The 12656-nt window shown below is 38.3% G+C and overlaps 1 protein-coding gene across 1 annotated transcript in view; it reads left to right on the top strand.

The window, feature by feature from the left end:
- Positions 1 to 11832, top strand: part of MTPN (myotrophin) — a 50600-nt gene extending 38768 nt beyond the window's left edge. Inside the window, exon 4 of the mRNA NM_145808.4 lies at positions 8580 to 11832. Within this exon, the coding sequence (NP_665807.1) occupies positions 8580 to 8666 (87 nt within the window). The 3' untranslated portion in view covers positions 8667 to 11832. The remainder of the gene's footprint in view (positions 1 to 8579) is intronic.
- The last annotated feature ends 824 nt before the right edge of the window (positions 11833 to 12656 follow it).

Here is a 12656-nt window from a genome sequence, read left to right as displayed (position 1 = left end):
CTCTGTAAAGCTGTTTCAATGGTTTTTTAAAGTTTTATATTCACTTCCTGTCAGTTCAAATCAACATAAGGTTGCTAGAATCCTGACCTGATAAGTGTCTGTCATAAAATGTTAAACTAGAAACATTGCAAATATTCCTTGAATTGACTTTAATCCTCAACTGCAGTCTTAGTCCTTTCAGATATTTGTTTTGTATTTGATTCTAAATTGCTTTCTTTCCAAAGTGAATTGACCATTCAAAACCATGGTTGCTAAAGAAAATTTTCTGAAGTAATTGGTTATATTCCAAGGGGGAAGGGTATGTGTGTGTGTTTATCTGTGTGTATATGTAGATAGGTAAATCCATATGCATATGTAGAGATAACACACAGTTTGCCCTCCATAGCCATAGGTTTTGCATCCATGGATTCAACCACAGATCAAAAATAGATTCAGAAAAATAATAGCACAATAATTACAAATAATATAAATTAAAAAGCAATACAGTATAACAACTGGGTGACCCTTGAACAATGCAGGGGTTTAGGGTTGCCAACCCCTGCACAGTCAAAAATCCACATAGAATTTTTGACTCCCAAAAAACTAATAGCTTACTGTTCACCGGAAGCATATAGATGACATAAACAGACAGTCAACACATATTTTTTGTATGAGTTATATACTTCATTGTTACAGTAAAGTAAGCTGGAGAAAAGACTATTAAGAAAATCATTACAAAGACAAACTACATTTACTATTCATTAAGTGGAAGTAGGTTACCATAAAGACCTTTATCCTCATTTTCTTTGCTTCAAGTAGCTTGAGGAGGAGGAATTGGGGGTTGGTCTTGCTGTCTCAGAGGAGGAAGAGGTGGAAGGAGGGACAGGAGAGGCAGGCACACTCCATGTAACTTTTATTGAAAAATATCTGCTTATAATTGGACCTGCACAGTTCAAACCCATGTCGTTCAAGGGTCAAGTGTATTTATATAGTGTTTACGTTGTATTAGGTATTATAAGTAATCTATAGATAATTTAAAGTATACAAAAGTATATAAAGTGTGTATGTTATATGCAAATCCTAAGCCATTTTATATAAGGGATTTGGGTATCCAAGAGGGAGTTAGGAACCAATCCCCCTCACACACAGAGGGATGACTATATATGTAGTTGACTGTATTTATATTTGGTTCAAGAGAGAGAGAGAGGTTTTGTGTGTGTGTGTGTGTGTGTGTGTGTGTGTATCCAGTTAGCACTTGGAGATCTATATATATATAGAAGTGCTAATTTTTTGCCTGATTTTATTTGTAAATTTTTTAAATTTTGCATGGAAACAAAGCTGCTTGTTATTCTGTCAATTTATCAGTATAACTATAATCAGCATCTTCAAAACCTTGACAAAAGCCTCTTGTCAAGATAATGTCAGATAACCTCTGAGGAGTTTGAGAGTTTCATCCTTAAAATGTTACTAATCCAGTTTTCTTGGCCTATTTTTACATGCTAAGAACTGATAATATACAGGGGAATTAGGCTGTCTGAAGTAAGAAGTAGATAAAGGTGACAAGCAGGTAAAGATATGTTCTTGTTGTTTCATGTGGGTATATCTTATCTTTCCAGCTAGATTGTAAATTATTTATGGGTGGAGATAGCATGACTTGAAGTTTTTTTAAACATTCTGCATGTTTGACCTCACACTATCAAATAATACTTGATTATCTACAAGTGTGGCATTTGAAGATCAATAAATTACTTGCAATGCCTTAAAAACGTTTACTCCCTAGAATGACAAACAGCCTGTCTGTTTGGGTCACTTTAACTTGGCCATAGCAACCTTTTTCTCCTCCAGAAAACTTCAGAAAAATCAGCAGAATCATGCTGTAGGCAAATGAACCTAGTTCTGATTGTAATCAGATGTCAGCAATAAAGGGACTTCTATGTTGCAATTACCTGAAAATAAGTGGGTATGTTATATAGTGTGCTAGTAGGCAGGCAGCCTGTTCACAATGGAAATGCTTTGTTGATATATTCACAGCAGTCTGTCTTTAAATCTGCCAATTTAATACTATAATTATTTTATCAAGTTCCTTATATTTTTAGTTCCTATTTGTATCCGTTTTTTTTGTTTGTTTGAGACGGAGTCTCACTCTGTCACCCAGGCTGGAGTGCAGTGGCACAATCTAGGCTCACTGCAACCTCCGCCTCCTGGGTTCAAGCGATTCTTCTGCCTCAGCCTCCCCAGTAGCTGGGATTACAGGTGCCTGCCACCATGCCTGGCTAATTTTTGCATTTTTAGTACAGACGGGGTTTCGCCATGTTGACCAGGCTGGTCTTGAACTCCTGACCTCAGGTGATCTGCCCACCCTGGCCTCCCAAAGTGTTGACATTACAGGCGTGAGCCACTGTGCCCGGCCTGTATCAATAAACATGTATTGATTACCTCTTATTGGGCCTGTGCAAGGCCTTGGGATCGCAAAGACTAATAAGCCTTGTTCCTGCCCTCAACATAGTTAGTCTGGTAAAAGGAGACAAATATGTAAAACAATCAGTGCCTTGAAGCATTGTGGTTGCTGTGACAAGAGTTATATGCAATGTGTAAAGACCCGAAGGAAGAAGAGGGCAATTGTGGTCTTGGAAGTTAAGGGGATAGTGTGTTATGAATAAGAATGTCATTACAGCTCCAGGTACCACAATTGTAATTTCATAAAGCAGTTGACACTTGAGCTGAACCTTAGAAACTTAGTGTCTAAGAGTCCAGTAGAGAATTGGGGCACCATCCCAAGCAGAAGCAACAATGAGAAAAGTCACAGGGACAAGAAAGAAACCATGATGTATTAGAGTACAGTACGTTGTTTGGCGTAGCCACACAGTCAGGTAGAAAGGATTTAGCAAGGCCTATGACTAGAGAGGTAGGTAGTGAACAGATTATGCCTTTATGTGTCATGTTATTTATCTTTATTCTATTTCGTGAGAATGCCATTAAAGGCTTTTAGGTATATGAACAGTATGATCAGACTGGCATTTGAGAAAGAACACCCAAACATGTAGAGTCTGAATTAGAGTTGTGTAATAAAAAAGGCCGGGCGCAGTGGCTCACGCCTGTGATCCCAGCATTTTGGGACGCTAAGGTGGGCGGATCACAAGGTCAGGAGATCGAGGCCAGCCTGGCTAACACAGTGAAACCCTATCTCTACTAAAAATACAAAAAAATTTAGTCAGGCATGGTGGTATGCACCTGTAATCCCAGCTACTCGGGAGGCTGAGGCAGGAGAATTGCTTGAACCCAAGAGGCGGAGGTTGCAGTGAGCCGAGGTTGTGCCACTGCACTCCAGCCTGGGTGACAGAGCGAGACTCCATCTCAAAAAAAAAAAAAGAAAGAAATCATTGCATCCAAATGTTTATACCTGAACTAAAAAAGTGATGGTAGCAATGGAGAACCAAGGACAGATGGGAAATCTTAATAGTATGGTCTGAAGACTTAAGTAAACAAGAACTGCATACTGTCTCCACATCTTCTGGAAGATGGTAGTGTTCTTCACCTTGTTGGAGAATATTGAAAAAGGAGCAAGGTTTATAGGAAAAGATTACAGATTCATTTTGGGAGAGGTTGAATTCAAGGTATTTATGGAACTTAAAGTAGGTAAGTCTGAAAGCCAGTCCTCAGAATGAGGACAATAAAGGTTGGACATGGATGAGATGATTAGGAAGAGCACGTTGAGCAAGTTATAAAGAGTGTTAAAGACCTGAATCCTGTATAAAGGACAGCCAGAGAAAGTAAAGGAAGGCAGGGGAGAGTAGAAGGAGTTGGTGTGGGAGGGAGAGGCAGGCTAGACAGGAGAATGTGGAGATAATACTGTCTTGAGAGTTAGGACCATAATGAGTTAGGAATATCACTGTTCAGATACTATATATGTTGACTAGACTTGGCATTTACAGGACGTTAGTGACTTATTTCAAAGTGTTTTCAGAACAGTATAGGTCAGGTTGCAAATTGTCTGTCATGTCTGATTTTTCCTTGTGCTTTAGAAAGAAAACCCTAGGTTGTAGTTGTCCACATGGCAGCCTAGGTAATCCTTGTGTCTCAGCTTTCCTTGCAGTAATTATGGCTGTGTGTCTAACTAACTTTTAGGCTACTGGGATATGCACAAATGATGTGTGTCACTTCCAAATCATTACAAAATATGAAGCCACTTGCTGTGGACTTTTCTCCTTATCTAGAAGGCTAGAAGCAGCTGTAGGACGAGCCAGCTCCAGACATATGGGTGAGGAGTGTACCCATGGGAGATCAACAGAATGGAAGGAACTTAGGTCCTTAGATGACCTTAAGGACAGAGCCACCCTGCCAACCTATGTGCTTGGCACTAAGACTGTTTTATAAGCAAGAAATAAATTAACTTAGTTCAATTCATTGTGTTTTAGTTTCTCTCTGTGGTAGCAATTTACCTTAAGAGTAACAGATTGGTTCATGAATTAGTCTGTTCTTACACTGCTATAGAGAACTACCTGAGACTGAGTGATTTATGAAGAGAAGAGGTTTAATTCACTCACAGTTCCTCACGCTGTACAAGAGGCATGGCTGGGGAGGCCTCAGGAAACTTAACAATCCTGGCAGGAGGCAAAGGGGAAGCAGTCATATCTTCTCATGGTGGCAGGAGAGAGTGTGAAGGGGGAGGTGCTACACACTTTTAAGCAACCAGGTCTCATGAGAACTCTACTCTATCACAAGACAGCACAAGGGGGTGAGGGGTGGTGCCAAACCATTAGCACCCGTGATCCAGTCACCTCCCACCAGGCCCCACCTCCAACATTGGGAATTATAGTTTGACTTGAGATTTGGGTGGGGACACAGAGCCAAACCATTTTAATTCATTAGTTTGTGGGACTGGGGAAAACTCAGGCTGTTACTGTAAGTGTTACCTTCTGATTCAGTCATTTGTGAGGATTGCATAGGGTTGCAATATTGGAACAACAGAGAGAAAATGACTAGTCATATTAGTCTGCTAGGTGCCACCAAGAGCAGTATTTACCTAGAAATAATTTGAACATCACTTACTTAACTATAAGAATTGATAAAAACACAGTTTTTACAGACCAGAATATAAAAGTTAATCTTGACAAAATAGAAAAGCTGGCAAATTAGGAGGTGGAGGGAGTGATGGGAAGGTTGAGAAAGTATCTTATAAAATTACTTCATGAGAATTGATGGAACAAGAAATACAGGTTTAAATAAATATCGTTTACATTTATAAAGAACAAAATATTTTAAGTATAAGAAATTGAGAAGGTCTGGGGAAGGGTGGTAGTGGTGAGCTAAAGGCCTATGTATGTAGCAGGAAGTCGAAAGATAAAATCTAAAGTTATAGCTCAAATATCAGCATGAGTATATTATTTAAAGCTATGCAAATAATTAAAAACAATTAAAAAATGGTTTCTTCAAGGAAGGGATAGGGCCAAATATACTTAAATTCTTCAGTTACTTCAAAACTGGTTCATCTTTTTTTTTTTTTTTTTTTTTTTTGAGGCTGAGTGAGTCTTGCTCAGTTGCCCAAGCTGGAGTGCAGCATCACGATCTCATCTCAGCTCACTGCAACCTCCGCCTCCTGGGTTCAAGTGATTCTCATGCCTTAGCCTCCGAAGTAGCTAGGATTACAGGCGTGTGCCATCACATGAGGCTAATTTTTATGTTTTTAGTAGAGATGGGGTTTTGCCATGTTGGCCGGGCTGGTCTCTAACTCCTGGCCTCAGGTGATCCACCTGCCTAGGCCTCCCAGAGTGCTGGGATTACAGCTGTGAGCCACTGCGCCTGGCCCTAAATTTATTCTTCAGTATTGTATCCCTTTTGATGGTATTACAAATGAAATTTTTAAATTACATGTTTGAATTGTGAACCTTTTATCATTATGAAATGTCCCTCTTTGTCTCTAGTAATTTTTTTTATCTTAAGGCTTCTTTTGTCTGATATAAATATAGTCACTCTACTTCTAATTACTCAACTATTTTTAAAGAAGTATATATGTATATATATTTAGAATAGAAGAGTAGAAGGAAACACTAAGATGTTAACATTAGTTGTATCTAATGTATAGAATTACGAGTTTTCTGCGATAAGTTTGCATCATAATTAGGAAAAAGGTGACATATACATTTTAAAAATATTTTATCTAAATACTTCTGGTTGCAAATAGCAGAGATAGTCAACAAGCAGAAAAGGAATTTTTGAAAAGATGACTGGCCTAGTTGCAGAATCAACAGGAAAAGCTGGGCACCAGGTTGAGAAGAGATTGAGCTGTGGCAACTGCAGGGCTCTGGGTAGCAGGAACTTGTCAGCTTTTTCATCGAGGTGGTGCCCCAGAAATGAGTTCTAACTTCTTATATTCTCTTTTGATCTCTTCAATCAGGATTCAAAATCTAGGAGAGAGTATTCCGCTTTCAAATCTTTGAAATTTGGTGAGGAAAATAAGCATCTCGGTTTTATAATCCCAGGACTATAGAGGACCCTGGGAATGGTTAAGGGGAACAGAAATACAGTTACAATGAATATGATCTAGTATTTGGTAGCACAACAGGGCTACAGTAAATTGTTAACTGTTGTGAACAACTTACTGTTCACATTTGTTAACAATTTACTGTGTAATTTAAAATAAGTAAAAGAGCAGAATTAGAATGTTCTAACACAAAGAAATGATAAGGGCCCTGATTTGATCATTACATATTGTATGCCTGTATCAAAACATCACATACCCCATCTATATATATAACTGTTATGTACCCATAATAATTAAGAATTAAAATTTTAAAAAGCAAGAGGGGACAAATGATTCCCCAAGATGAAATTAGGGTGCTGCCATCAAATGGAGGGAAATAAACTCTGAGAGCTAAAAAGCAACAGAAGTTCACTATAATATGTAACTGTTAATGCAGAATTATAGTTGATAATGCTAGTCATAAAAGTAGCCATCAAAATGAATAAGAAATAACTTTTTTGAATACAGTTATCCCTTAACCATTGTGGCGGGACTCACAGCACTGAAGTTCTCACGCACTGACGTCTCTCCCACTTGACCCTGAATTCCATGTCTTCCATGAAGCAGTTAAATTCATTTAGAAAATGAGGAAATAGAGACTTTTATAATAATACTGAGGAGGACTTTGTGATCATTTAACACTTCCTAAAATGTCATCTCCTCCCTGGTTTACCTAATCAGCCTGTACTTCCTTGTCAAGACTCAGCTCAGGCATTTTACCTCATCCCGGAAGACTTTCTCCCTTAAAACGCCCTCCTGCCACATCCTGTTCTGATTATGGGCCACTCATCCCTGTTACTGTTCTCTTCCCATAGTGTTGTGTTGGCTGAGTTGTCTGACTCTCATACCAGCCAGACTGGCAGACTCTTGTCTTATTTTTCTTTGATTCTCCAGTCCTTTACACAGTATGCGCATATTAAACATTCAGTAAATATTTGTTGAGTGAATGGGTGGATTTGCCAGAGAAGAGGATAAGGCATCCCATCTAGAGCCCGCATGGATAAAGGCATGAAACACAGCAGGAACTGGTGAGAAATTCTGTAGGATTAGAGCATGGAGCGGTTAACTGGAGAAGAGACTGGTAAAGCTGACCAGCGTTAGCCTCTAAAGGACCATATGTGCCAAGTTTAAACAATTCTGTAGGTGTCAGGAACAAGCAGAAGAATGTGTGAGATTTGGCAAGGGGAGTGGGTCAGGACTCTAGAGAATGTGTGGTGAATAAATACTGGCTGGAGCTAGAGCTGGTAAACAGAACCCTCAGATGGTAGGATGTTGTCTCTGGGAGTTAAGAATCAGACCTGGTTTGGGAGCAGATTAACCTACCATGCACCTAGGCACTTTTCCAAGTGCTGGAGTACAGTGGTGAATTACTGCTCCCATGGAGCTTTCATCCAGAAAGGGTAGACAGATGAAACAACATACAGGCACAAAAGGGCACATACACACTCTCAAAACCAGAATGCCGCGTTGCAGATAAAATGTTCCAAGGCAGCACTCTCCAAGTTAAGCGTTCAGAGCAGTCTGGTGTCTGCACTGAATATTTCCCTACAATATCGCAGGGAACCTTCTTATAGTCCGCATCTCAGGCATTTACTGCGAAGTTTTTACAAGTAAAATGACGAATACAGTATTTGTTCTTGATGTATATAATACTGAATGCACTCTACAAAAAGTGTTTCAAATAAGAAAAAAATAATTTGTCACAGGAATACTTTAGCAAAGTGATTTACTTTTTCCCCGTTTCATACTGCACATAGGGATATTATTTTTAAAGCCTAATTAGATAAATATATCTAACTTGCTCAACGTGCTCTTCCTAATCATCTCATCCATGATAGTATAAATAAAAGCCAGTGATTGCCTGGGTTACAATTCTTAGTGCCTGAAAAATAATGTGGCATTTTTATAATTAATCCATAATGTTGCCAACTTGTTTGTTTTTCTGCAGTAGAATAGACTCCACTAGTAAAGGAATTTTTAATTCTTGATGTAAACATTAACCTGTGCCATGTGAGCTAGTCTTACATTCCCTTCCCCCAGTTGTGGGCTCATTTAATGAGCCCTTTCCTCTCTTTTCCAGGGTGCTGATAAGACTGTGAAAGGCCCAGATGGACTGACCGCCTTTGAAGCCACTGACAACCAGGCAATCAAAGCTCTTCTCCAGTGATGGATGGATGGACTGATAACTCCGGAAGAATGACTCTCCTGTGGCCTCACACTGCTGCCTGTCTGTCTGTCACTCTCTATCTGCCAGCTTCTTCAGCTAAATACTTTAAGAGGGGTGAGGGGAGAGAGAAATTCATAACAAATCCGACTACCAGAAAAAAAAAATTGTTTTGGAGGAGGGGCAAAAGGAACCATGATCAGGCTTTTACTGGGATTCCTGATCAAGTAAGCCTCTTCCCTTTCTAATAAAATATACACCTTATACCCAAGGGAGAGCAAAGACAAAATACACCAGTAACATTTGACCTTTTCAGCTCCCTAGCTAATTTATTAGATTGTGTTGAAGGTCTGATTCTACAAAGGCCAACTCTACATATTTGGTAGCCCTAACTGTCTGAGCAGTAGTGGCTGCTGTGATGTAAACTTAGGGTGCTGAGATAAGCAATTAGCTCTAGCCTTCTGCCTTAAGAATGCACTCTACTGGGGATTTCCTGGCATAGTTAAGAGCGCTGCCTATAAGGTTGGTGACCAAATCTTTCCTCGGTGACTTTAAGCTTTATGTGAAAGCTTAGTTAAGGTGAGGAGGGGCACACTCCTAAATTGCTGGATGACTGAACTTTGGATTTTCTCTCCCCTTTCACATGGATTTCATGTCTCTTTAGATAAAACTGACTAGTTTTATTTATAAAATCTTAAGTTTTGGAAGTCTAAAGGAGAAACCATTCCAGTATGCATATTTTTTTCTCCTCTAGATTCATACATTTATATAGCATTGAAACACTTTCAAACTCCTGCTGGTAGTAAAAGGGGATTTAAAAATAGAATCATAGCCATAAGCCTGTTAGTATCATATGAAGAGAGAACAGTTATCTTAGTACCTATGGATTTTCTTTATTTGCTGTTTGAATGGATTGACCTTGGTTATGTGTTGAGAATTAAGGAACATTCTTTGAAATGCCTCTCTCAGACCCATCTTGGAGGCTGATTACTTACTGCACCAAAGCTATCACTGGGGTGAGATTTACTGTTTGGACAAATTTAGCCCCATCCCTTCAAAAATACACTTGTAACCAGGTTTCCCAGAGTTGTTGATAGGCTTCTGCTGAACATATGCCAACCCACCTGCATAATATATTTTTGTTGCTTTTATAAATCATGCATTACATAAAGTGTGACAACTTCAAAATGTATTCTCTGTTCTTGGAATACAGTGCCCTAAAATGGTGTTCTTATGACCTGCAGAAAATATTTACACATATTTCCAAATATTTATTTCATGAGCAGTACAGCTAATTAAAATATATAAGCTTAAATTTTATATCTTACATTTAAAATATTAAGATTCCTTTGACTTGCCATCCATATAAGCTTGCTAAAAATATTAAGACCAAGTCATGCAATAATTGAATGTACCTCAAATTTTTAGGGGAGGGTGGGTTAGGGACTGATACTCAGATTGTGGATAATAATTGAATTGGTTTTTAAAGGCAACATAGCATTCTACAGCAGGGTTAATCTATTATCAAGAACAGTCACCCTGGTTAATAACAAGTTTTACTGATCAGTTGCTGGTTGGTTGGTTGGTTGGCATGTGGGTGTGTGGGTGTATAGGTGTGTGTGGGTGTGTGTGTGTATTTTTCCCCATGAGTCCTTTTTTTAATCCTGTGGCTTTTTCACTTACAACTAGCCTAACCCTGTAATTTTCCTACATCCAAGAAAACAATCACAAAGTAGTGGTTTAAATACTTTGTTGTATTTGGCTAATTTTGCTGTCTTAATGCAGCCTATTAAGAGTTGGGTTAAAAATCAGTAATCAGTACTTTATTACATCACTGAACTAAAATATGGAGACATCCTCATTGAAAATGGAGGGCACTCTATCAGTCTATAACTATCAACGTAGTGCAACAGGGTGTTTTGATACCTTTGTTTTCACCTCTTGACATAATGCTATTTAAAGGCTTGAATTTTTCCCTTTATATAATTTTCACCTTTACTTTCAAAGTGTTTTGTTGTAGTTGGCTATTGCAGAGAGTGCATTGTCCTATCATTCCTAAACCTGGTCTGCTTTCTACATTCATGGTATGGAAACCATGTGATTCTTTGTACAGTTTATCCTGATGTTGCTTGTAATGCAGTAGAGGCTATTTCGCCTTCGCTTTTCTTTCTCGACCTTTTTGTAAACCCTATAATTATGAAGCGATTGCTTGAGAAAATAACATATAAACATAGAATAGAATAGACTGACCAAGATGGTTCACAGTTTCTTTTTTTAACTAGGTTATTTATAATGTATTTCTGAACCACTTGGCAGACAAATTCACAACACTTAATGTTCATATTTTGAGTAAAGGAAGCTAAAACCATGTTTGCTTTCTGGTACTACATGCATTAGCGAAAGGTTAAGTAAGTTTTGTTCTCCACTGAAGTAATACTTAACATCTCAGAAAAAATTTTGCATGTTCTGTAGTTTTGTATTAAATCAGTCATTTCATATGCACTATATCAAGTACAAACAGGTAGTTTACCTGTTTATAGTAGTGTACTAACAAAGTCTCCCTTGCAGCTTCAGACTGTTATCTATAGGCTTATCGTTCAAATACAGCACTTGAATATCCCAAGTAGTTCTTCTACGCATAGCTCACCTTTCTAAACCCAGTTAAGCATGGAAGAGAGGTAGTAGGTAGGTGCAGTGTGTGGAAGCTGCAAACAAGTAGGCCTTTTATTCATTGATATCTTTTCCCAAGTACTGGATTTTAAATCTGTATGTATCTGTTTGATTTTTTTTTCTAATATTTCAGTTGAGCTGCTGTTTTCTTCCATGCAATATTGTATACTCAATTGTGTATAGAAGAAGCTGGTGAGAGTGCCCTCCTACATAAATAAGCAATTGCAGTGTTTTGCATGCAAAATATAAAAAATTTAAATTGTCCTGATTCTATTTTGTAAATGGAGAAACAATCATATCTTTCTAAGCGGTAATGGAGGAAGACTAGTGCTTTGTGCATTTTGATATATTTGAGTTCATTTTTTCCACAATGTCATACTTTTGACGCAGTTGGGTTTCTCATAAGTATCCTAGTTCATGTACATCCGAATGCTAAATAATACTGTGTTTTAAGTTTTGTGTTGCAAGAACAAATGGAATAAACTTGAATTGTGCTACAGCTAATGTGTCAGCAGCATTTTTCTCAGTTATTATCACCTTCCTTTTGTAGTCATCTCTACAACTATACCAGAAGCTTGATTGACTCAAACATTTAGTTAATCTTATCCCACTTCTAGAAAAAAATGAGTGGAGGGAAAATAAAACATAAAGATTTAATTGAAATAAACCTTACCAGTCTTTGAAAGGATTTGCTTTTGTGTCAGTCTCCTGACATTGTTTTACTGTAACTTCAGTAACGCTCCTGGTTGACGGGGAGCAGGGTGTAGCCAGCACATCCCAGATCGTCAGGATCTTCAGGGGGCTTGAAGAAAATGGAGTCGTGGTTAAACCTCTGATCCTTTCATTGCTCATCTAAGTTGCTCCACATTTCTTGGAGATCTGCATTTCCCAAACTCAACTACGAGCACTTTTTTAGAGTGTAATTTTCAGGATGAGTGATCACTTTGAACCTTAAAACTGAACAAAATTAAATACAAAATCAGTTTGATTGTGTTGTAATCTTGTTAGCACCAGAAGACTATTGCAGTTTACTTTTAGTGATAGAAAAAAAATATATATGTGCAGATACTAAGTTACAGCAAAAGCTGTATTTTAGAACTTTCACATTGTTGACTGAAGTATAAATGGGGACCATGTACGGCTTTAGGTGGAAGTGATTACAGAAATTTTTTTAAGTTCTCATTTTAAGAATTGGAATCTAGGACCGGCGCAGTGGCTCACGCCTGTAATCCCAGCACTTTGGGAGGCTGAGGCAAGGAAGATCACTTGAGCCCAGGAGTTCGAGACCAACCTGGGCAACAGAGGGAGACTGAGTCTCTACAA

Source organism: Homo sapiens, chromosome 7 (assembly GCF_000001405.40).
Source record: "Homo sapiens chromosome 7, GRCh38.p14 Primary Assembly".
Taxonomy (NCBI): domain Eukaryota; kingdom Metazoa; phylum Chordata; class Mammalia; order Primates; family Hominidae; genus Homo; species Homo sapiens.
Note: the sequence above shows the minus strand (reverse complement) of the source record. Positions and strands in the feature narration are given on the sequence as shown.